Source organism: Homo sapiens, chromosome 3 (assembly GCF_000001405.40).
Source record: "Homo sapiens chromosome 3, GRCh38.p14 Primary Assembly".
Taxonomy (NCBI): Eukaryota; Metazoa; Chordata; class Mammalia; order Primates; family Hominidae; genus Homo; species Homo sapiens.
The window spans coordinates 117,877,119-117,904,663 of record NC_000003.12 but is presented as its reverse complement, the minus strand read 5'-3'; the positions used below and the strand labels follow the sequence as shown (position 1 = coordinate 117,904,663).

General features: G+C 37.5%; 1 long non-coding RNA gene across 1 annotated transcript in view; it reads left to right on the top strand.

Moving 5' to 3' along the window:
• The window catches only part of LINC03051 (long intergenic non-protein coding RNA 3051), a 120,212-nt gene extending 92,916 nt beyond the window's left edge, over window positions 1-27,296 (top strand). The window contains exons 2-3 of the long non-coding RNA NR_182298.1: window positions 25,858-25,910; window positions 26,671-27,296. This is a non-coding gene — a long non-coding RNA (long intergenic non-protein coding RNA 3051). The remainder of the gene's footprint in view (window positions 1-25,857; window positions 25,911-26,670) is intronic.
• Window positions 27,297-27,545: the final 249 nt, after the last annotated feature.

Here is a 27,545-nt window from a genome sequence, read left to right as displayed (position 1 = left end):
TTGTATGTTCCACCCAGAACCTAAAAATCTTATACTCAGAGCTACGTCTTATTATAAAGTTTAATGAATTCATTTACAATACTTCTCCTACCACACATATACACCACATGGTGTCTTGTTTGCACCTTTCTTTTGAGATATTTCCCCCCAAATGGAATGAACCTATGTTCATTGCAAATTTAAACTACAGAACTGTATAATAATGGAAATGAAAGCATTGTACAAAATTAATCACTGCTAATACATTTGTGTATGACTTTCCAGTATTCAAATGCATATTTTACCTATTTGAAATTATATTGAAATATAATTTCTGACTTTCTTCCATGTTAACATGACAACAAAAGAATTTCCCATCTTTTAAAATTCCTCAACAAATAGCATTTTGATGGCTGCATGGTGGTGTGTCTAGAAGAACTATCGTTTTCTTAATATTTTCTCTATTATTGAACATTAATGGTGAGACATCAGATATAAATATTCTGTGGTCAGCTAACAATTACTGTTGGCACTGTGTGTGTGTGTGTGTGTGTGTGTGTGTGTGTGTGTGTGTTGTGGCAGTTGTTGGTAGAAGGTTTGAGCTGAGGGAAAATATGCTATATCTCCCCCCATCTCAATTTAAATAGGTTTTAAATTAATCCTTGGCTCATTCTGTGACCTCAACCCTGATACTAAGCTAAGAGTGAGGGAGGGGATGGAGCTAAGAAGAGCTAGAGCTTGAGGAAAAATGAGATACAAGAAAAGTATAAGAGAGGAGAGAGATGCACCAGGGAAAGAATAAAGTTGAATAGAGGGAAAGAAAGAAAGATGGTAGAGAATACAAAGAAATATTTAGCCAATTATTTCTCTATGACTTGCCAAGGTGGCCAGGATGGAATTATGCTTTCAGAATATGGCATTCAGTTTGCTATCCATATCATTTCCTTATCCCAAACTCAACTCAACTGTTTTGCAGAAGCATGTGAAAGTATGTGTGACATACTCCCTCTTCTGATATGGGTAATTGTAGCATTTAAGAAGCTGGCCTTATTGCAAAAAAATAAAATAAAATAAAATAAAATAAAAAATCTGTGTTCTGTTGCAAAACTCTGGAATTAGATTTCCTGCTGCCCTTTCACCTTCTCAATTGCCTGGTATACCACAGCCATCTTTGTGATGGCAATCCTGAATCCTTGGCCTTAAACCAGCCATGCTCCCCTGGGGCTGCACACAGCAGTACTCTGAAATTCCTACTTACTAGCTCCTTCAACAGGACTGATGCTGAAAGGTTTTGCCTCTGCTTTCAGCATTCATTACATTCCTTATAAATGAAACATGAATGTAATTCATATTTCTTCTAGGGAGAGAAGTTTTAGAGGCTTCATTTATTCATTCAACAAATATTTATAGGGTCCCTTCTGCACTAAAATACCATGGCAGGCACTGTGTGGGATACAGAGATGCATAAGTACAGTTTCTACCCTTAGGAGTTTAGTCTACCACCAAAGAAAGCCTGTTAATTTTGCCTCTTCTGTATTTTCTTTATCCATCTACTTTTGTCCACCCTAACTACAAGAGTCCTAATTCAAGCAACCATTATGTTCTTCCTGGATTACTACATGTTAAGAATTTTATGAAATTATTGTTATGCTTAAAAGCATTCATTGTCAGGCCAACTTTCTAAATCTTTACTATGAACTATAAGGCCTTATAGGATTCTGGACCCAGTTAAAACTGAGATAAAATCTCCTGCTTTCCCCAATTCTAGCCATCTTCAATTTCTTTTAGTTCTTTGAAGGTGCAATATGTTTTTATTACTAGGATTTTGTGTATGCTGTTTCTTCTTCTTCTAAGATTTTCACTACCTCATATTCGTAGTCTCCTCCCCTATTTACCTACCAAAATACTATTTATTATTTAGGTCTTAAATTAGGTTATAATTTTTTTTTTTTTTTTGAAATGGAGTCTCACTCTGTCACCCAAGCTGGAGTGCAGTGGCGTGGTCTACTCACTGCAACCTGCAACCTCCTCCTCCTGGGTTCAAAGGATTCTTCCACCTCAGCCTTCCGAGTGGCTGGGAATACAGGCACGTGCCACCATGCCTGGCTAATTTTTGTATTTTTAGTAGAGATGGGGTTTCACTATGTTGGCCAGGCTGGTCTCCAACTCCTGACCTCATGATCCGCCTGCCTCGGCCTCCCAAAGTCCTGGGATTACAGGCGTGAGCCACCGCGCCTGGCCTAGATATAACTTTAACCAAGAATATTTTCCTATGTGCTCATGTGCCTCTCCCACCTGCAGACCATATTTGGTGTCCCTTCTTTGTGCTCTATGACACCTTGTACTACCGTCTTCATACCATTCATCATACTTCTTTATTGCTTCCCTGCATGAGCCTCTATTAGGTTACACTTTTCATGAGGCAGCTACAGCGTCTACCTTGTTTTCCATTGTGTCCCTATTATGTAATCGAGTGCCTGCTATGCTGTATTTATAACTGGGAACATTTTAATTAAAGTGTTGTATTAATAAACCTGTAGTACCATTCAGGATCCCTTACATACACCATTAATGCTCCATATACCATACACATTAATATGTTACATACTGGGTAAAACTATATATGATTAAGTGGTAGGTTCATAGGAAGTGTTATAGGTGTTACAGGTCAAAATAAATCTCTGTGAATGGGAGAGTCGTGGAAGACTTGCTGGGATTAGGAGGAAGTTGAATAGTATCATGAACAAAAAGAAAGAAATAGGTAAAAGAAGATAGTGGGGCATTCCACACAGTGGCATGTACATTTGTGATGTGATGAACAAATCGTAATTAAATGCAATCAAAATTTTGACTTTGTGTATTGATTGGGTAGGAAAAATTATGTTGAGAAGAAGCAGGTAAGAAGATTGAAAAGGAAAAGTGTTATTATGAAGGGATGTGAGTGCTGGGCTCTAGAGCCTCAGTGTTCTTCTGTGGACATTGGAGTTCCATTTACCTCCAGTGATTATTGAGCAGGAGAGTGAAATATGAACACAATGTTTTCAGAATATTGAGTTGGTAGTTGTGTGTCTGTTGGATTACAGAGAGAAGGAAAGGACACACTAATTATAATGATTGTTCTGATTCTCATTAGAGTGGTGGGAGGAAAAGATTGTAAAGAAATATGACACAATATTCAACTTGACTTGGAAGATGAGTTCAGTGCCTAATTAGGTAATAGTGAATCAAAAACAATTATAACTTTATAAGCATAATTTTCTCAAAAAATATGAAATGAATGAACAGTTGACAAATATTGGGATATTACAGTAGAGAGGGAGTTGCGAGAGTGATACAGATTGTCTTAGAGTAATACAAAAAGTCATAGATTGGCAGGTTGGCAGGGTCATTGGAAATTATTTAGAGTAAAATACTTTTTGCAGATGAGCTACAAAGGACTTGTAATAAATTTGAGATGATTCTGTACATATTGATAGAAGCTTTCAGAAGGTATTGAGAATTAAGAGAGTGAATGCTGAGACAGAAATCAGGGTGGAGCTGCACATTTGGAAATTATCATTTGAGGGTTTGTTGTGAAATCCCTGAGTGAGTGTTCCTTGAGGGAGAAGGCATAGATCTTTAAGTGCTAACTTTATTCACAGTAAGTGTAATAAAATACTGTATATTGTCCAATTTATCTACAGTGGCTTGTTAAGTATATAAGTTTAAATTGGCATGGTGGTAGGCCATTCGAAAAAGAGGCAAGGAACAGAAAAGAGTAGAAATTCAAGTTCTGAGGATCTAACATTTTTCATTTACTTTTTAATTGATACATAATAATTGTACATATTTATGGGGTACAATGTGATGTCTCCATATATTTATGCATTGTATAATGATCAAATCAGGGTAATCAGTATAACTATCACCTCAAAAGCATATTGTTTCTCTGTGGTGAGACCATTCCAAATCCTACCTTGTAGTTGTTTTGAGATATACAGTATACCTATCTTGTAGTTGTTTTGAGATATACAATATATACAGTAGGTATATACAATATACGTATCTTGTAGTTGTTTTGAGTTATACAATACCTTATGGGAGTACTCAGAGTGTGGAATGTTTTATCTCTCTGAGAAGGGGTAGGATACAAAAGTTGGGCAACCAGTTGATGGAGTCTTGGAGTAACTCTGAATGATTACAGCTTCTATGGCATTTGCACTGGTGTGTGAAGATGTTGTTAACTAACTTTCACATATTAAATAAAATTTTAACAAATCATGTTGAGCAATGTGATCAGAGACTAAAGAGGTAAAGAAAAGAGGTGGAAAAAATCAGGAAACATATGTGGATCTAAATGAGGTAAAAGCTAATGTATAGTGAATACTTCCTGACACACTTTTTCATATACATTATTATACTAATCTTTACAATAACATGGTAATGATGAGAAAGCTCAAAGCCCATAGATGTTGAATAACTCATATAAGTTAACATATGTAGAATCTGGCAAGGATGGGGTGCAATGGAGCCTGTGTAATTGCAGAGTCTGAAAAGAATCTCACTGAATGGAGGGATTAGATAGGAGGTAAAGGAAGGAAGGGAGGGACAAGGATGAAGGTAAAGGAAAATGTGTACTGGCAGATTTGAGAGAATCAGGAGAAAGTGGGCTAGAAGAATTTTGACAGTGTAAATGAGAGAACTGTATATGGCCACCAAGTCCTATATTCTCAGAGTACCTTCCTCACTTGCCAGACATCTTAAAACCTGGCACAGTTCACTCCCAAAAAAACATTAGAATCCTGGTAAGTGGGCAGGAATATTTTCCAAGTGGAAACCAGAAGCCCACCACTGACATGTATGAGGTATTCACAGGCGGCTTTTTAGAATACCTTCAGGCTCCCAAATCTCTTTACCTCCCCCTAATATATGAGAAAATGAAAATGTGGGGAAAAATTAAAAATAAACTGGTATCTGTAAAGTCACATGTAAAAAGACATCACCGCAAATACTATCAGTAGTCATTGCTGCAGTGGAACGAGAGTACCTTGAAAGTACAATTCACAATTTCCTCAGCCTGTGTGCTTCCTTTAATACGTGGGTGAAACTATGTAGAAGCCCCTTCCACTGGGAAAGCCATAGGATGGAGGGGAGAGAAACCTTCCTGGTCCCTAGTGATCTAATAACATGAAAAGTGAATTCAACCCATGGGCAGTAAATCTCCCTGGCTAAAAGGATGAGCACTAAATGAATTTCTTGCTTGACAGCGGCCCACAGCAGAAACCTTTAATATGTGTGGGCCATTTCTGAGTAACCCTTGCCTTCTTTGACATGCCACTATTAGATGCTGGTGATCCATGTTGCTACTGTGCTGCATACAGGCTGGCCTAGAATGGTTTTTAATTAAATCCCCCTAAAGGATGGTCAAATCGACCTGTCTTTGCTGAAAGAGTAGTTGTGATCCAGTGTCCTAAGAATACATACTCCCCTTGATGGCCTTCCTCTCTCCCCAGAGGCTGTCTTATTGCATCACTGATCAATGTTTCTCTCTCCAGGGCTTCTAAGCAGAAGCATGATGAAGACAGAGAATGAAAACCCAGTGCGGTTACCATAGCAACATTTTCAGAAAGAAAGGAATGAAAGAGAGAGAGAAAAAAGGAACTCTACTATTATTTAAGTCCTGAACATCAGTGAATGAGCTGCCTTTCAGGCAGTCAGTGCTAGGGTTTATTTCCCTAAGAACCTGAGAAATAGGATCAGAGTCCCTTCAATTCCAGCTCTTTCCAGTAGGGGGTGAAAACATTAATAGCGTGAGGCATAGATGAAGAAAAACAGTCATACAGGTACATTCTCTCTCTGATATCGGCCACACTATTAAATACAGGCATATCTTAGAGATATTGTAGGTTTGGTTTCAGACCACTGCATTAAAGAAAATATCACAATAAATTGACTCGTGAAATTTTTAGTTTCTCAGTGCATATAAAAATTATATTTATACTATAGTGTATTAAGTGTGCAATAGCATTATGTCCAAAAAACAGTATACATATCTTAATTTAAAAATACTTTATTGAAAAAATTGCTAAAGAATGCTAACATTTATATGAGCCTTCAGCAAATTGTAATCTTTTTGCTTATGGAGGGTGTTGCCTCTATATTGATGGCTGCCGGTTGATCAGGGTGGTGGTTGCTGAAGGTTGGGGTGGCTGTGGCAATTTCTTAAAATAAGACATCAAAGAAGTTTGCTACATAGATTGACCCTTCTTTTCAGGAAAGGCTTCTCTAGAGCTTGCAATGCTATTTGATAGCATTTTTTACCCACAGTAGAGCGTTTTCCAAAATTAGAGTCAGTTCTCACAACCCCTGATTCTGTTTTATCAACTAAGTTTGTGTAATGTTTTAAATGCTTTGTTGTCATTTCAAAAATGTTCACAGCATCTTCACCCAGAGTAGATTCCATTTCAAGAAACCACTTTCTTTACTCATTCATAAGAAGCAACTTCTCATCTGTTCTGTTCAAGTTTTATCATGAGATTGCAGGCATTCAGTCACACCTTCAGGTTCCATTTCTAATTCCAGTTATTTTGCAATTTCTACCACATAGGCAGACACTCCCTCCACTGAAGTCTTGGACCACTCAAAGTTATCTAAAAGGGTTGGAATCAACTTCTTCCAAACACCTGTTAATGTTGATATTTTGACATCTGACCACGAATCACAAATGTTCCTAATGGCATCTGGAATGGTGAATCCTTTCCAGAAGGTTTTAAATTTACTTTGCCAAGTTCTATTAGAGGAATCACTAACTATGGCAGCTATAGCTTTACTAAATGTATTTCTGAAATTATAAGTCCTGAAAGTTGCAATTGCTCCTTGGTCCATGGGCTGTTGTGCTAGCAGGGAATAAAACAACATTAGTCTCCTTGTACACTTCCATCAGAGCTCTAAAATGAACAGGTGTACTGTTAATGAGCAGTAATCTTTTGGAAGGAATCATTTCTGAGCAGTAGGTCTCAACAATGGGTATAAAATATTTAGCAAATCATGCTGTAAACGGATGTGCCATCATCCAGGCTTTGTTGTTCCATTTCTAGAGCATAGGCAGAGTAAATTTAGCAGAATTCTTAAGGGTCTTAGAATTTTTGCAATGGTAAATTAGCATTGGCTTTAACTAAAATTTGCCAGCTGCATTTGCCTCTAACAAGAGATTCAGTCTGTCCTTTGAAGCCAGACTCTGGCTGTGAAAGCTCTAGATGGCATTTTCTTCTGAAAAAGGCTGTTTTGTCTACATTCAAAATCTGTTGTTGAGTGTAGCCATCTTCATCAATGATCTTAGCTGTATCTTGTAGATAATTTGTTGCAGCTTCTACATCAGCACTTGCTGTTTTACCTTGTACTTTTATGTTGTAGAGGCAGATTCATTCCTTAAACCTCATGAACCAATCTCTGCTAGCTGCAAACTTTTCTTCTGAAGTTTTCCCACTTCTCCCAGCCCTTATATAATTGAGTAGAGTTAGGGCCTTGCTCTGAATTAGGTGTTCCTTAAGAGAATGTTGTGGCTGGTTTGATTCTACCCAAGCCACCTAAACTTCCCCTGTATCAGCAATAAGGCTGTTTTGCCTTCTTATCATTTGTGTGCTTACTGGAGTAGCACTTTAAATTTCCTTCAAGAACTTTTGTTTTGCATTCATAACTTGGCTGTGTGGCATCAGAGGCCTAGCTTTCATCCTCTCTCTCCTTTTGACATGTCTTCCTCACTAAGCTTAATCATTTATAGCTTTTGATTTAAAGTGAGAGACATACTACTCTTTCTTTCACTTGAACACTTAGAGCCCAGTGTAGGGTTAATATTCACCTAGTTTCAATACTGTTGTGTCTTAGGGAATAGGGAAACCTGAGGAGAGGGAGAGAGATGAGAGAATGGCCCGTCCATTGAGCAGTGAGAACACAGACATTTATTAATTAAGCTCCCTATTCTATATGGGTGCATTTCATGGCACCCCAAATCAATTACAATAGTAATATCAGAGATCAATGATCACAGATCACAATAGTAGATATAATAATATTTTAAAAGTTTGAAATAACGTGAGAATTACAAAAATGTGATGCAGAGACACAGAGTGAGCACATGCTATTGGAAAAACAGTACCCATAGACTTGCTGCATGCAAGATTGCCACAGACCTTCAATTTGTAAAAAAAAGTAGTATCTATGACACGCAATAAAGAAAACACAATAAAAGGAGTTATGCCTGTGGTGTAGTCATCTATGAACGTTTATTCTGGTATCCTGATATCTTCACCAGCTTTGGCAAAGACAGCATATAAAATGTTTGTTACCTTGCTTCATAGAATGTATTAGCATCAAGGGTAAACAAATAATGAATAAATTTTCTAAGGAAAGGAATATAAACACACAAGTAAAAAGCAAACCGAAAGCAAACACTTTGAGTGGCTGTAGATTGAGAAATCTCATCAGCACTGAGTGGTGTTAATTTGAAGCCATCAAGGAAGCATGAATGGTTTTGTAAAAGGAGAGAAACATGAATTGACAGTAACATAATGTGGTTTTCTGGTTAGGGTGAGATAGAATAAAAACTTCATAAACTTCCAGGTGTGATAGGTAAATCATGCCTCAGATAGTGGGATAACCTGGCTCTCCTATTATCAAATGTCTGTGAAAGCTAAGAAAAGAGTTTGGTAGGACAGGTAGAACAGGTGAATTAGTGAAGAGCAGATCAATTTATATTTAATTTGAATGTCATAGGGTTTCTAAGATGTTCTTAAGTCCCTTGGGGGGTCTTTAGTAGGAAACGCTTGAGAAAAATTTCATGTAGCAGTGTATAGAATAACTTTCTTGGCTGGGGAATAGATTATACTAAAGACAAAGAGAAGAAACTGAAGTAAATTAGATGTGCTTGTGTCATTTGTGAGTAAGGTGAATCTAGCCATTCTAATAATGACAAGATAGGAATTAAATGAATGCTTACTATAAATGGTCTTCACGTATGATAATAATGTCCACTACCATTTGTTAAGAGTTCACAATGTACTAGGCAATGTATTAAATATATTTTAAGTATTATCTCACTTATAATCTTCATGATAAACCTAGGAGGTTTTGTTATATTCACCATTTTATAGCTAAGAAACTAAACATCAGCGAGGTTAATTATATGTAACTGATAAGCATGAGACTTGGATTTGGACCAGACTCTAAAGATCATGATTCTTCCATTGTAGCACATTGTATGTGATTCATATATGCAACAAGTTGTAAGACATGAACCTAAAAGAGATGCCATGGCTTGACCTTAAATAGACATATGTGGTAAAGTATAAAACCCCAAAGAATGAGGATAGCTGTAGTGCCATCAGAAATTAAAAAGATATTTAGAAGACAGTACTTCAGCAGGACATTTTTGCTTTGGGGAAAGGCTGGCCCTGTAGTTTTTATTGATTACATTTTAACTGACAGCAACAGGGATAGCACGTGTACCTTTTGGTAAGCTTTCTACAGTTAGCAAATTTTCAAATATTTCATGGGCATGCAGTTTCTGGACATGCTAATATATCCCCCCAGGAGGCAGAAGAAGGTCAGCCTAAAAAGAGAACCACCAGCAGCTGTAGTTAGATCCTTCTTTCCACCAGCCTTCAGCAAAATGTCCTTTTAATTTTCTTTAACCCTTATCTTGCAAAGTTGAAGGCTTTCGGTTTAGAGTTTAAAAGAACTTCCATCACTAAGTGTTTAATCCTTAAATCTTAATATATGTGTTTAAAATTCATCCAAGCCTCTATATAAAGTCATGGGAAGGAAGAAAGCATTTCATGTTCCTTTGCATATTTTCCTCAATTCTTTCCCAAAATGATAACCCTAGGGTCTAATAGCCTGCTTTCTGCTTCTCCATCTAATTTGCATGGCATATACTTTATAGTACAAAATGTCCATTGATGGGTAAGAAAGAAAAAAAAAAACAGTGACCGTTTCATATCATCAACAGGGGAATATGGGTTTGGATTTAGTCTAATTCTGAACCAGTGATAAGGTGGATTAACACTAAAATGCAACAATGCTGACATTAGCAGCTTCTCTACTCCTTGAGGCAAAGCAGTTGTTGATTAGCAGTGTTTAGAATTCAGATTGTAGAAGCAGAGACCTACATTACAGTCCTGGCTTCACAACTTCTTAATTCTTAGACCTTGGGCAAGTTACTTAACATACTTCAGCCTTTGTTTCCTCATCTGAAAAATGAAAATAGCAGCCTCAATTTATATGATATTTATAATCAATGAGATTATGTGTAAAATATTTAAAACAGAACCTGTATCATTATGTGGTTGGAGACTGATGCTATTAAGAGCAAAGATGGCTAGATGGGTAGTGAATTTAACATAGCAGGAGAGAGAAAGTATATTGTTTCAGAGTCACAATGATGACTTCCACATGAAGAGACATGAGGTTGGATTAGAACAAAGCTGCAGAATGGACTTTCTCAAATTTATAGTACTGTGCATATAAGCAGTATGTCCTGGAAGCCATAGAGAGTGACAGAATCTAGCAGGCAGAGAGTGTAGGTTTGGGTGTGCGGAGTGTGGGGAACAGGCATTCATGCACTTTCTTGTACCTAACATTAACACTAACTTGCAAAGATATGTTTTTTTTGTTTTCTCTCCTTCCCTCATCATGAATATAAGTAAAAACAACAACAAAATATCAGAGAGAGGCTTTGATGGTTTTAACACCTTTACATGCACATATACAGAACAAGCTTCCCAACAAGCAAAAGTGACAACAGCAACTGTTGGAATCATGCTCTGTGGAATTACAGGAGAGTACTGTCATCCTGCCTTAGATTCCATTCATCACTTGGCCTGTCAGTTACTCTTTGACAAATAGTTTCCGTAATTACTCTGGTTCCTATGAAACCACATCCTGGGTTAGATTTGTTTAAATATTACAATGTCTATATAAATTAGAGTCACCCTTTTGTCTAGGAACAAAAATCCGGAAGGTCTATTATTTCAGAGGTAATCAGTAGAGCACTTTAGACTCTTTATAATCACAAAGTCTAGGTGTCAATGACTTCAGGCTGTCCAGGTATCTAAAATTTTGTCAGTTTAACAGTCTGTAACCCTTTCTCCTTCATGTGTTTGTATTCCCATGTTTTTAAGCTTAGAATGGGATTGTCCCTATGGTACATCAACCTTTCATTTTTCAAGCTAGTAATCTCCTATCAAGTTTCAATCCATTCTTCATATGGGCTATAGGTTTAATACACTATACAATATGTTCCTTTAAATAGCTTCTAAATAATTAATTAAATGCTAATATTGCTTTTTTTCTTAACAATTGTTCTTAAGTGTTAAATCAATCACAGATTAATTGAAACTTCCTCACCATTTTCCCTTTTCTCTCCATAAATTAGCTTTTACTTTCATTTTCTTTCATGGATCTTTTTCCCCCTTCTCCTCAGGCATTCTCAGAGGGCATCTAAAGTTCTTTGGCTCTGTAGTTTTGAAGTGTGCAATTTGGAAGGAATGTGGGTCTGGAGGGAGTTAAATTAACTAGAAGCACTCTGATTTTTTATTAAGTTGCTTCTTTCAAAGATATTATAGAACAGTACAGGTATTCATTTTTAAATTTTCTTTAAAAAAAGGAAAAAGGCATTAAAGTTCAGATGATTTTAGTTCCCTTTTTTGCTTTACTTTTAAGGTCTATACTCAAAACACCTTTATCATGTTTTTAGTACAAAGTTCCAAACATTAAGAAAATATATTTATTGAATTTAATTTGGTGAAAATTAGAGGTAGGAAATAAAGAGTGCAGAACAACCATCAAATGAAAATAATGTGAGAAGCCAGCACAGTAAGGCATTGATGAGCTATATCCTAAAGCAAAGAGTGAAAATTCCAGATGATTGAGGATTTGGACAGCGATCAGACATCAGCCGAATAATGTGCAGAAAGAACAAAGAGCACAGTCGTGTGGAGGGAATTCTGAGTGTAAGACTATAAGAATGAGCAACACTATCACAGCTTTGTGCAGCTTGGGTAGAAAAATTTAGAGAGGCCACAGTGGGTAACAAGTAGGCCACCAGTCAGCATTTTTTTTTCCTTCTGGAGGAGTGGTAAAAAGCAAATCTGTAACTGTGAGAAAGGAATGAGAACAGCCCTTTTGAAATAGTCAACATGACTCAGGCCTTGGCTGGACTGATAGGTCCAGTCCTGGGACTCAACTGGAGGCTATGCCTCACCAAACACCCCAATAGAAATGGAGAAACAGAATCAGTCACCCAGTGGCCATTGAACATCTACACATTTGACTTTGTAAATCATATCATGTGAATGGCTAGTTAAAGGTATCAATTATTTTCATCACTTTTAGTTTGCTTGCTTCAGGTAGGCATCCAAAAAGGTACAGAATATTCAGAAAACTGAAACGATGGTTACAATTTAGAAAATGCAAGATTGTTTCTGCGGAAACAAAACTTATCCTGCCATTATCTTCTTAAACTAAGTTAATGGATTTCAACCCTTCGTGTAAAACCCAAGCTCCTTAAGATGACTTGGAAACTCCTCTTTTGGGGCTTGATGTCCCATTTGGCTGATTATTTTTATATTGTTTCTTCACACTTTTTTCTTTCAATCAATACTGAACAATTTAAATTTTCTTAATAAACACAATATGTTCCACTATGATGTGAGACCATTTGGCATGCTGTTCCCTCTACTTCATTACAACCTTGTTGTCTGGCCCCTCCTACTTTAAATTCAAGATTCACCTCAAGTATTAGGAAACTCAGAAAACCTTACCATGTCTGGTCCAGCTGCCTCTCTCTAGTCTTAGTGCTTACTCCCCATAGCATGAATGCCTTTTTATTTGTTCCTCTCTCCCATTAGACTATAAGTAGCTTTAGGGAGATACCATGTAGACCAATCCACTTTTTCTCCCCATTGCCAGACAAAATGGCTGTCATCTAAGTATGCGTATTAAATGTTAGTTGAGTTAAATGTCAAAGGAATAGGATAATTAGGATAATTATGTTAGAAAGTGCTATCATGATTGTGTCCCCCTAAAATTTGTATGTTGAAACCTAATCCCAATGTAATGATATTAGGAAGTGGGACCTTTGGGAGGTGATTAGATCATGAGGGCAGATCTCCTATGAATAGTATTAGCACCCTTCCATTATTTGAGTACACATCTGGAAGGTAATGTCTATAAGGAACAGGCCCTCAGCAGACACCGAATCTGCCAGTGCCTTCATCTTGAACTTCCCAGCTTCTAAAACTCTGAAAAATAAATGTTTGCTGTTTATAAACCACCTAGTTTATGGTATTTTGTTATGGCAACCCAAATGGACTAAGACAGAAGGGAAAGCTAAAAAGATAAATAACAGCACTGAATAGAATGAAAGACATAGGTTGAGAGTATTTGCAAATTCAACATCTGATCCATTGATGAAGAGCACTATTCTATAAAATAAAAAAAGCCAGAGCTTTCCTAAAAAGGGCAATCTTCCTGTGTAAAGTTTCATCTTTCACCTTATTATATGCTGTGATGTTGTGTTTGTGTGTGTGTGTAACTTTTCTCTAAGTCAGAAACTTGCTATTTATTTATTTTTTAAATATTACAAAGGGGCTGACAGAGTGCCATGCATACAGTAGGCCTTTTGTAGGCTGACATTTAATAAAATATTTGTTGGATAAAATAACATTGGAAGAAAGGCTTTGCAAAACTGTTAAAAACCAAACTATGTGAAAGCTATAATCTATTTTTTCTGTACACCAGTCATAATATTTCTTCAATGTAAAAAGAAACTGACATTTTAAAGGATGAGGCTATCCCCCATATTTCCTTTTATCTGTCAGTGGAATTAAATGTTCTTTAGCAAAAGGCCATCTCTAGTTGTGTGTATCCATATCAATGAATTTAAATACTTCTAAAAATTTGAATGATGTCAAGCAGAGAATACGTAACTCCTTAAATGTTTAATTTTTAATTCCAAATTGTGGCGGCATTATATTTTAAACATGAAGATGGAAATTGATTTTTGTGGAACCCAGGACAAGATTGTCCTGGAAATCTGTATGTAATTGAATAGAATAATGATTTGCAAAACATATTTCTCAGACCAGAAGCATGGGCATTCTAACACCTCATCAGAAATGCAAATTCTTAGGCCACCTCAGGCTTACCAACTCAGAAGCTCTGGGGGTGAGGCCCAGCAATCTGTGCTTTAACAAACCTTCCAGATGATTCTAATGTAATAAAAACTTTGAAGCCCATTGGGATAAGCCTTTCAGAGCACCACTGGGAAGTGTCAAAGGGGACCACACAACACTTGAAGACCTCAGGATTGTCTAGCCTTGTGTATTCCCTGCACAACTAACTTTCTGTGCAGGCTCTTCCTAACACTGAAGCTCATTTTGGTGCGCCCCTCAAATGCTGGTCCCAGACTTGATCCAATGGCCAGAAAGCAAAGTCTATACACTCCGGCCAGTAGAAAACATCAAGAATTGCTTATAATGAACAGGAAAAAGGCCAAATCCTACCTGATTTTTTGACTTAGCAAGTGTTACGATAACTAAGAATAGACAACTTGTACAGTAAGTTGCTCATCAAGTTGAGAATATCATAAATGCATTTTCCATTCTTTCATGCTGTATTATTGCACAGAAGATGATAAAACAATTGGATTGTTGGCAAATTTATGTTTTGATATAATATCAATCAGACAATGGTTTTGATTCTTCAGTGCCTTTGAGACAATGAATAACTGCCTTTTAAAAAATGTCAAGTATCTGTACAACTATGTTCTTTTTCCATTTTATTCTCTTCCTTATACTGTTTTGTTATTCTGTTTCTTCTTGTCCTGATCTCTTTGATGATCTCTTATATAGCAAGGAAGTTTAATAGATTATTAAGGCTGTTTGGGGATCACATCAAAGTGAGTGCCACTCAAAATTTCTGAATACCCTAAAAAAGTTGACTCAGACTGTGATTTCAGAACTCTGAAGCCTTGTAATATTACGTGCTGTTATTTTTGGACTCCCCTATTTGGAGTATCCAATGACAAAAGTCACTTGAGAAACAATACATTGTAAGTGGAGAGCTCTATTTTGGTGGATGATTTTTTTTCTTTCTTATTTTTTTTGTGAGTGATTTTGGTGGCTAATTTCTTTCCTTCTTATTTAAATGTGTATGGGAAAAATATGACTGTTTTGAATATAATCATATGGAAAATAATCTCTACCCCCCAGATCAAAGAGCTGAGGTAAAATACAGCTTTCTTTTTTTGATACATATGCATATTTCTTATACACATCACACATGATAGAGAGAAAATGAAAAGTTATAGCTCCATTTTCTTGTATCTCTAGGAAGCTATAAAAGTGCATATGTGACTCAGGTCATCTCATAAAAAAATAATATGCAACATATAAAATACAGAGATATTTAATAGGGTTATAAAATCTGGGCTACCTACTTATTTTCTAGTAGCAAATTTATTCATTATTGTCACTATTAATAACAGTAATATCATTATGAATCTGTGCATATATTAAAACAACAGTGTTTGCATTATCCACAGAAGATAATTTTCCCTCTGGGATTTAATTGTGGCTTTTGAAGAAGGAGAGAAGTGCAATCATTATGAAATGCTGAGAGAGTCATCCCTTTCTGCTCATGGGTCTAACACTCATTAATATTTATGTGAAGATTTTCTTTCATGTAGGAAAGGATGGGGTTAAATAGAAGACCCTGCGATGGGGACAACATGTGGAAATGTGTTATGCAGCACAGATGCTGACATGTGGATTAGTAGCTGGGTTGAGAAGAGGAAACAGTTCTGTCTTGAATAAGAAAAGATAACATTTCCATTTTGTGTGTGTGCCCCGAAGTGGGGATTCCACTAGTAAAAGTTCTGTTCATGTAACTCATGAGGCCTCTGGTGTACTATCTGAAGAAAGATCTGGAGACTCAGGATAACTGTGTCCAAATGGCAGGTTTATTCTTGCTCCATTATTGTGACTGTGCTTAGTTATTGGCACACAGTGCACTTTGCCTTAATCTTGGACTAGTGTGGCATTATCTTCTGCTTGGGTTCTCTCAGCTGAGCACAACCTATTGAGGATGCAGCAGCAGACTATTCCTTTTGAAGTCAGACGTGTTAAGCCTTTGGGTCTCTTTTGCTGGAGCACATACCCAGCCACACTGTGAGAGTTTCATACTACTAAGAAGTGATTTTGTGAGCAGTTGTGAGCTAGTTATTAACAGAAGTGGGTGAACTGGGTCAGCCCCAAGAATGAGGCACATAATTTTTAACAGAGAGCACAACCTCTGTATCAAGTTTTAAATTATGTTGTTTTGTTGCTGTTATTTTTAAATAACAAAAGAGTTGTCCACAGGGTTAGCTCAGAGAACTCATGAACTAATTGGATGAGGAATCACCAGGACTGGGACAACAGATGACAAGAAAGAAAATTCAGGATGGAGCTGTCTTTCATACGAGTCATAAACTAAGGTCTTGACATAGTACCCTGGACACTTTTCTGAGTCAGAACTGCACCACTGCCTTGTTTCAGTAATAACGTGGGGATAAAATAAAGCATCCTCCAAGGAGGCATTTAGTGGTGAGCTAAGGCTGAGAGCCTTCAAGGACATTTATCTCCATACTAGCAACGTTTGACTCTTTGTGGTTTCCACAAATCTCTGTAAAAGGCATTGATCACCACTGACAGTATGATTAGAGGAAGCACTGATGCATAGCGTGTTTATGATTAAAAAAAGAAAAAACAACTCACGTACTTAACACATGTCATGAGGAGATTTTCATTCTCCTGAGAAAAGAGAAATTTTACTTATTTAAGAGATATTTTCTGCTTTTGATCCTTTTCTTATATAGTGTTGGCTTTGTTTAATATATAGCCCAGTCTAAGGACTAAGAAAGCGGCCCTTGCCCTGTGACCTTAGTCAATTCATTTTGCTTCTCTGGTCTTCGTCATCCATGCATTTAAAATGAGATTGTTGTTCATCTGATATGTTGGCCACCTCATATCTACAGGATTCTATGATGCAGTCACTGTTTCACACAACTCTTCCAATGTGTCTTTCAGAATTTACCCTAAAGAGTCAACTGTCTGTAGACTGTTCATCAATCATACGGTCCCCAACACTTAATGAACACCTATTAGTTACTTAGAACAGTAAGTCACTCTTGAAAAGGAAAAGGATATGTAATATAAAATTGTGTAAGACATAGCCTCTTACCTCTGAGAATATTCTGTATATTATGTAATGCAAGATGAAAAGTGTTAAATTCCTTAAGGAAGTTACAAAGATGATTATCATATACACCAGGGTTTCTCGACCTCACACTATTGAGACAGGATGGGTCATTATTTGTTGTAAGAGGCTTTCCTGTGCATTGAGTATGTTTAGCAAGCAACTGGAGCTTCTTCCCACTAGATACTAGTAGGATTACCGCAGTTGTGACAACTGAAGATATCTTCAGACATTGCCAGATAACTCCCTGGGGAGAAAAATTGCCCTGATGAAGGAGCAGTAGAGTAGAGGAGGGTAGAAGCTCTCACTGCACTAGAGGAGAACAATAACTTGTGTCGAATTTTCAGAGAAGTTGCCAAGAGGATTCATTTGACCTGAGTCTTAGAGTACGGGGAGTAAGTAAGACTATAAATAAGGTTGTAGTCATAGTTAGCAGGACCTTGATCTTGCCACTGGGGAGCACCCAAGATTTTGAGGTGAAGATTGAGGCGGAGAGTCATTATAAATAGGATAGTGGTTGATCATGGTCTTTGCAGTAGGAAGAATCTGCTTTAAAATCCTGGATCCAAAACTTTGCCAGTTGTATGAGCTTGGGTACATAATCTAATATTTCTGACTGTGATCATGATTAAATGTAATACGTAAAGTTCTTAGCACTATGTCTGGCATAGAAGGCGTATGGTATGATTATCTTGTGAAGCATGGCTCAACCATAGGGTTTTGATATCCTAAAGTCTGTTCATGAGTTGTCAATTGTGTTGTGATTATCTTGTTATTCATAATGAAATACTAACATGTGAATTATTTAATTTTATATTCAGTAGAAAGGAACAACCATATTTCCACTAAACACTCCAGCTCACTGATTTGATTTCTTGACTATTAGAGAAAACGATGGAGTTAAAGCTAGCATATGAAAATTGAGATTTCTGTGTGTATTCATGGAGGGGTGTCATAAGGATATGCCAATCTTAATGTGTGTCGGACTTGCTGCTTAGGCAATTGCTCAGTCTGGGATTAACAACTGCACTTGCCTAGCTGACCAAGTGTAACAGTTTTCAGTGCTGTGATAATGTTGGAATTTGGAAATCTGCCCTCAGTTACGTGGTCTTCCCACTGCTGGACAGAGAATCTTGGGACATGTAGATGTCTGGCCTTGGACTTCTGCTTGGGCACTAGCCATAGAGGAAGAATAGTACTTAGAACTGGAATCTTGGATATAATATATATATATATATATATACATATATATACACACATATATATTAATATATATACATATATACACATATATAAATATATATACATATATACACATACATAAATATATACATATATTTATATATATACATGTATCTTTATATACATACATATATATACACACACATATGTGACACAAGTGTGTGTGGGTGTGTGTATACATACATACATGTATGTATGTATATACTTACTATAGAAATCTAGCTTTTAACATTTTTCAGTAAACTTTATTATTTAGCCATTCAAATCATTTTGCTGGCCCTGCCTTGATTCAGGTATTGTAAAGATTGAAACTGATAGTATCCAGTTTTGAAACTTCCACTTCTGCAATATCAGTGTATTCAAGCCTTGAAATATAGTGTCATGTTAGAGCTAAATTAAGGCAAATTTATATAATGTCCAAAACTGATAGCAGCCAATTCTCCAAGGCCAGCACCCCTTCCAAGCATTGAAAGTTTTATTCCACTAGGGAAATATTTCGCTGCATCACCTGTTAAGTTTGAGTCTTTTTTCAAGGCTGAGTACTAAATGCTCTTGCTGCATAGGTCTGATGCTGTATTGGTGCCAGACCCTAAAACACCCACACGACTATTGCTGGTAGGTGGCAGCTCTGGCAGTGGCTACTTAACTATCTCTGGGAGAGGCCTGCCTGAGGAGAAAGGTGGTAAATGTCACAATAGAAGATTAATTATATATGTTCCGTGTGACATGACATCCCATAGGACTTAGGAACATGTTTGTGGTTTTATAAAGTATACTGTAAATATCAGTCTTGGCTTTGGCTGTGACCCTGCCAAACACGGGGCTAATGTCATTTGTCATATTCAGACGTTGCCTTTTAAGAAACATCCTTGTGCAGGCTGTTACCAAGGTTTGATGTGTTTGACGGCTCTGAGGAAATTGTTGTCCTTATAATAGGGGGATAGAGAGAGACAGGAAACCAGCAGGGGGAGGGAGAAGAGGAAGTGAGCCATGCGATGGAGCAAAAACATGTCACTCAGGGGAATGAGTAAATTATGTTCTTGCTTTTTGATTAATGAAAGTTACTAGACAGATTTCCTTATGTCTTCCAAGACTCTCATTTATTACCCTATTTTTAATGAAAAATCTGTGAGAAAAGAGAACCTGAGAACTTGCCGGGGAGAAATTAGATACTTCCAGTGTTTAACTCCAGTGAGGTTTATTGACATTCTCATTGAGAGACAGGAGAATGAAGTAAAGGGACAGGGGAAGATAATGAGAAGGAGTAATGACACCATTTCACTGTGGCCTGATTATTAGCATACTAGACATTTTCACAGCTATCTACCACTGGGCTTCAGATTTGACCCACACATCAGTATTTGAGTTAAATCTGTATCTTATTTTTGTCAACTGAGTGATCTTTCGAAACCCCAACACCCCTTTCTTGCAATGCCTAAATAATTGGCTTGTATTACTGAATTTCTAGTTCTGGGTAATTCTGTGCATATGATACTCTTCTCAGGCTAAATAGAACATATTCTTGCTTGCAGTAGGCAGATGTTCAGAGCATGAAAACTCATCCAACAGAGGGGCTACAATACATTACCATACATATGGCCACTGCAATGACCAGCCAGTGACTGACTGCCATCATTTAAATAATTAGCTTTATTTTGGAGAATACCCCTTTCACCAGGGACCCTGAAGGTGTAATTCTGTTATTGCCTTTGCTTCTTTCTCTTTCTGTGAGTTAATATAATGTGTAGCTTCTTATGGCTGGTAGTTTAAATCCCTAGTGGCAGTAGGAAAGACATGTGTGATGGGAAAGCCCTGCTGAGGGGAATTGAGGCTTAATCTCCCATTGCTGGAGTTATGATAATCACGTGTATGCTGAGCTGAAGCCACATATGAGGATCCTATGTGGAAGTAGATTATGCCATCAATCTTCCCCATTGCCTGTTTCACCTGCCTTCCCCACTCTGTTTCCTTCTGTTTCTTCATTTCTAGCCTCTATTTTTTTTTCTTTTCTATCTTTTGTTTTCAGATTTACTCTCCAGTTTTTAATATGAGAAATGCTTCTAAGGCTCAGCCACATTGCAAGCAAAGAATTGCCTCTCTGTGATTGTCTTTAGTTTGATTAAAAACTAATTATTCTTCCCATTAATTTGTTCGTTCATTCATTCATTCATTCATTCTCAACAGTTCTTTACTGGGCATTTACTGTGTATGAGATACAGAGCTGAGATGAGAAAGAACAGCCTGTAAGGCACTTACAAATCATTACAAGGAAGTATAGTGAATGTTATAAGGGGAATATTTGCCAAGTGCCAAGAGATGCCATTAGAAGAGATTGCTAACAAGAAGGGATGGGGAAAGATGGGAGAAAGTACCATAGAGCAGTAATGTTTGAGATAAACTTGATGGATTAGTAGGTGGGTCTATCCATTCCAGTCAGAAGCATGTACAAATGCATAGAAGCATAACAGAGCCTTGCACCATGGCATGCAGTGAGAAAAGTAATTTAGTTTGCTACGTCCTGAACCAAAGATCAGAATGGAGTGACTGGAGAAGGGGTTAGTTATATAGTGAGTTTGCCTGGGGCTTCCTATTTGTTTGTTTTTTTTTTTTTTTTTTTTTGTAAATTTAGTAATCGTAGAAATGTGTCATGTGGATTCAAAAGAGGAAGACATTCAAGGCATGGAGATCTATATGGAGACAATTGTAATAATCCAGGTGTAAATAGAAAATTATTATCTGATGTGCAAATAATAGATATATGTGGACAATAATGTGAAAGGATGTGGTGTTTAGCCTTTTGTTGGACAGTTAGAAAATGATTTTTGCATAAGGATATATTGAGCTAAGATTTTAAGGATGGTGGCATGAGGTATAGGTTAGGGAAACTTTCTTTTATATATATATATATTTTATTATACTTTAAGTTCTAGGGTACATGTCCACAACATGCAGGTTTGCTACATATGTATACATGTGCCATGTTGGTGTGCTGCACCCATTAACTCATCATTTACATTAGGTATATCTCCTAATGCTATCCCTCCCCACTCCCCCCAACCCCACAACAGGCCCTGGTGTGTGATGTTCCCCTTCCTGTGTCCAAGTGTTCTCATTGTTCAATTCCCACCTATGAGTGAGAACATGCGGTGTTTGATTTTTTGTCCTTGTGATAGTTTGCTGAGAATGATGGTTTCCAGCTTCATCCATGTCCCTACAAAGGACATGAACTCATCCTTTTTATGGCTGCATAGTATTCCATGGTGAATTCCATAAAATTCACATTTTCCATTAAGAAAATGCGCCACATTTTCTTAATCCAGTCTATCATTGATGGACATTTGGGTTGGTTCCAAGTCTTTGCTATTGTGAATAGTGCCACAATAAACATACATGTGCATGTGTCTTTATAGCAGCATAATTTATAATCCTTTGGGTATATACCCAGTAATGGGATGGCTGGGTCAAATGGTATTTCTACTTCTAGATCCCTGAGGAATCGCCACACTGTCTTCCACAATGGTTGAACTAGCTTACAGTCCCACCAACAGTGTAAAAGTGTTCCTATTTCTCCACATCCTCTCCAGCACCTGTTTTTTCCTGACTTTTTAATGATCACCATTCTAACTGGTGTGAGATGGTATCTCATTGTGGTTTTTATTTGCATTTCTCTGATGGCCAGTGATGATGAGCATTTTTTCATGTGTCTGTTGGCTGCATATATGTCTTCTTTTGAGAAATGTCTGTTCATATCCTTTGCCCACTTGTTGATGGGGTTGTTTGTTTGAAACTTTCTAGATAGGATAGGATAGGAGAGAGGTGAGATCTGGTGAAACTTTCTAGATAGGATAGGATAGGAGAGAGGTGAGATCTGGTTATCTAGAGAGATGGGATAACACTGAGGTGAGAGAGAGTGAGATATCAATTCAATTGGTGTTGCTGGAATAAAACATGGAGAAGTAGGATAAACAAGGCTAAAAATGTAGGTAGGACTAGATCTTAATTAATATTAATTTCATCATCAGTGTTTGAGCTGTATCTTGTAGGTGATGGGAGATATTGAAAGGTTTCAGCCAACAGAGACACAGGAGGACTGCTTTATAAATACCTCACTCTTTCAGCAGTGTAGAGGATGGATTTGAGGTAGACAGGCTTAGAAACAGAGGAATGAATAGGAGGCCTTTAGAATAGCCCAGGCAATAAATGAGGAAAGTACAAAATGGTGGAAATGATGTGAATGGAATTGGGACACAGTTACCAACTCAAATCAAGTGTTTGATTACATATTCACTTAAACGCTGGTGTCTTTGGGTTTTTTTAGAAGCAGAACCTGAGATCAGAATTTAAGTAATTTGGTTTGGAAAGGAAGAAAATGCAAGCACAAAAAATAAGAAAGTAAAACAGAGGAGGAAATTCAGCAAATAAACGGCATATTTTCAAGCAAATTACCAGTGTGGGCAACTGGCACTTAATCCTGCTGAGGAACTTGCTAAGGCAGTAGAGAACACTGTACTCACTATCTAGATGATGGGATCAGTTACACCCCAAACCTCAGCATCACGCAATATGCTTATGTAACAAACTTGCGTGTCTACCTCCTGAATCTAAAATAAATGTTGAAATTATTAAAAACATGTCTTATATGTAAACACATCCCACCTAAGGGGAATGGAGGCAGGATGTTTATAAGCCTACTCTCAGTCATGGGTCAAAGAAAAGGGAGGTTAATTCCCTGGCACTTCTTGCTCTGCTATGTAGAGAGATGCAGATAATGGCATTAGCAAGTCAAGCCAGCATGCACTGAAATGGTAAGGCAGCAGGAATAAAAGCAGGACAACAATATATTCTACCAAAGTTGGAAAGAAACTGGGATCACTCCCACATTTTTGTCTTGGCTCAATGGCTACGTGGTAATTCCATCAATTGAGAGAATATAGTTAAATGCATGGGTTTAGGATGTAAAAAAGACTTAATTCTGGACATATTGTCTTTAAAGTCTCTATAGGATATTCTCTACAGGTGATTATCAATTTCAAGCTCAAGGAAGTTTGGACAGGAGATTTAAATTTGGAAGTCATCAGCATATAGGTAACGTTGAAATAATGCAGACAAATGAGATAACTCTGGTACATTGCTCAGTGAGAAAAAGAGTGGGCCAAGGAGAGAACCCTAGAGATAATCAGCATTTCAAGGGTGTTGGGAAGAAGAGAGAAGTACAACGGAGACAGGGTAAGATGAGGAAAGCGTAGAATCACAGACACCAGGAGACTGGAGAGTTTCACAAAGGAAGAAGTCAGCAGTTTCAACTGCAGTTAAGAATAATATAGAGGCTTAATAATATACATCTAGTAGACATTTATTTGGTCTTTAGTGATCCTAGTAAGAACAGTCTGTAGTAGAATGATAGATGTGAGATTATAGTGGGTTTAGTAGTGAGCCTGCTTCTCTTCTGTGGATGAGATAGAGATTAGGTGGTAGCTGCTATAGGGAGATTTAATTTCAAGGTAGGGTTTATGGCATATTTATAAACTACAGGAAGAAGGAAACAGTAGAGAGTAAGCAACTGAATGCAATGGGAAGAGGACTGCTTAGTAGAGCAAGGTCCCAGAAGAGGCAGTACAAAATGGTTTAGATGAAGGGAATGCCTGGCCAGAAGTGTGGAAGCCTCAACATCTGAGACAGGGAGAAAGGGCATAAGGAAGGGTGTGGGTAAATTTAACTTAGTAGAAGGGGGCAAGTGGAATATATAGAAAAGAGTATACCTTATAGCCTTAGTGCTCTTGAAGATTTAAGAGGCCAGATGCTTTGCTGAGACTTCATGGAGCAGAGTTCAGTATGAGGCTAGGCTAGGGAAGAATGTCTAAGGTTTGCAAGAGTTGTTGTGGAAATGGGAGAGGAAACTATCTGAGTTTGATAAAATGATTGCAGAGGGCCTGCTGATTTTGCAGATTAAAAATTTGTAGTGGCCAGACACAGTGGCTCACCCCTGTAATACCAACACATTGGGAAGCTGAGGCAGGTGGATCACTTGAGTTCAGGAATTCGAGACCAGCCTGGCCAACATGGCGAAACCCCGTCTCTACTAAAAATCCAAAAATTAGCCTAGCATGGTGGCATGTGCCTGTAATCCCAGCTACTCAGGAGGCTGAGGCAGGAGAATTACTTGAACCCAGGAGACAGAGGCTGCAGTGAGCAGAGATCGCGCCACTGCACTCCAGCCTGAGTGAGTGACAGACAGAGTGAGACTGTCTCAAATTAATAAAAAAAAAAAAGTGACCATGTGATTACTTGATTTTTCTCAGCAGTGCTCAGCCACCTGAGTGTAGGAAAAAAAAGACTGAATCATAATACTGGTCTCTGCTTTATAAAGCAGGAGAGACCCACAAGAAAGAGAGGCAAATGACCCTTACTTTTTCTCTAACTATTAGTGTTCTTGTAATTACCACATTTATTATATGAGTGGTCTACATTGTTTCCTTTGCTTCCTTAATACCCATCTTCTCCTTAGATCCTGAAGTCTGTATTTTGTCTTTTATACTCATCTAAAACTTCTTCCTTTTAGATCGATGCTAACATATTACTCATCAAAGCCAATGTACATTTTCCCCATCCTCATAGCCTTTTAGATCTCTCTGCAACATATGCCAGCATTGATTATCCCTTGTTTCTAAAAAAAATCCCTACATTAGTCAAGTTAGCCTAGGTTAAATTGTGGAAGCAAACAAATCTGAAAGTTCATTGAGGCTTAACACAATGAAAATGTTATTTTGCATTCATGCTACATGTTTAGCATAGGTTAGGGATTGGGGCACGGTGCACATAGCAAACACTCCAGAACTCAGGTTGTTGGAGCATCCATCTTATTTGCAATCACCACAAACTTCCACTATCTCCACAATCACTAAGGTAGTAGGAAAGGATTTTGGCAAGTCCTATACTGTTTCTTAGAGCTTCCACCCAAATGTGACACACATGAATGCTGTTCACATTTCACTGGCCAAATCAAATTGCTTGGTCACTTCTAACTGGAAAATGGCAGCAAAATGCAGTACCGTTTAATACGCAACAGAGAGACAGGATATTTGGGAACCTCTTTTACCTACTAAGTGTCCGTATATGCCAAGTTTGGTTCTCAGCCTGGTATTCTTCAATTTCTTCCCAAAGCACTCTCTCCTCCGTTTAGGTGATTTCCAGATTCATGATCCTTGTCCTGACTTACGTCTTTGTCTTGTCCCATAATACTAAATGTATCCTGAATATTTCCACTTGCATGTTTTCCTGTCATCTCAGTTGGAAGGTATCCAAAACAGTACTCAAAAACTGACTTTCACTTATATTTCCTATTTTTGTTCATTCTTTCTCTAGGAGACCCTGTCTCAGAGCCTCAGAAGTCTTATCTAGATCCTCTTTCCCTTGAGGTCAGCATCTGTTTTTACTTCATTATTTATGAACATACACATAGTAGGTGTTCAAAAAATTCCATTTGGTGATTTTATTTTTGTAATTTTTTCTTCTCTAAAGGAAATCCTTTACTCATACTCAGGCACCCACCTCCAGTCACCAAAATGTATTCCCCCTCACCCCCAACATACCAAACAACCAATTCTGTTGCAGATACCTGATGGACGTTTTACAATTTGACCCACTTCTGGCACTATCTACCTAGAGATAGCATCAGATCTGGCAGATTAAGTCCTCAGTCCCACAGGACCATCTCCACTTCAGATGGCAATCGCAAGTCCCAGGTTGTGACCTGTGTTTCTGACTGACTTGCTGTAAATTGGGGTTCCCATGACCTCCTCCTCGGGTTTGTTTAATTTGCTAGAGTGGTTCACAGTACTCAGGGGAATACTTTACTTACATTTACCCACTTATTATAAAGGATTTTACAAAGGATACAGCTGACCAGCCAGATGGAGAGATGCATAGGGCAAAGAATGTGGGAGGAGGCACAAAGCTTCCATGCCCTCTCCAGGCACACTACCCTCCAGGCACCTCTACGCATTCAACTATCCCAGAACTCTCCAAATCATGCAGTTTTGGACTTTGAAGTAGGTTTCATTATGTAGGCATGATTTATTACATCATTGGCTATTGGTGATTAACTCATTCTTTAGCCTTTCTTTCCCTCCCAGTTGTTTGGGAGTGTGGCTGAAAGTTCCAACCCTCTAATTACAGGATTGGTTCTCCTGGCAACCAGCTACCATCCTGAGGCTGTCCAGAAGTCCCCAGCCATCAGTCTTCTTATTGGCACACAAAATGGCACTTGTCAGTTTGGAGATTCCAGAGGTTTTAGGAGCTGTGTGCCAGAAAATAGACATGAAGACCAATTATGTATATTTGATTATAAATCGCAATATTGTATCTTCACTTTTTATTCTTCAGGCTTCAAATAATAATATTAGAACCAGTTTCTGATGAAATATGTTTTCTCTCATATATGATTTTCACTAAGGCCAGAGTAGAATCTGCATTTTATTATTATTTTTAGTTTCAGTACAAAATGGGTATGAATAGTTCATAAATTACAAGTGTATAAGTAACTATCACCCAGATCAACAAATGGGACAATATCATTTCCCAGAAGTTACCCTATGCCACTGTACCCCCACAGACACCAAGAATAAGCACTCTGTAGCAGCATGGATTTGTTTTGTCTGCTTCAAAAATTTATATACGTGAGATTATATGATATAAACTCTTTGTTTCTGGATTCTTTTGCTAAATATTTCGTTGGTAGGAATAATTAATCCAGTTGTATATATCATTGTTCAATAGTATTTCATTGTAGAAGTATACTATATTTGTTTATTCTACTGTAGATGTACCTTTGGGTTATTTCTAGTTAAATATTGTTATGAATATATTTTCTCCATACATTCTTATACATGTATTTTGTTTAATCTGTGTATGTATGACCATTGGTAAAAGAGCAAAACTGCAGGGCTGATATGTTGAAATTGAGTTGTTATTGACAGCTTTTTAGTGAGATTATACAAATTTATACTCCCTCCAGCATGTATAAGACGTATCAGGTGTTCTATGTCCTTGCC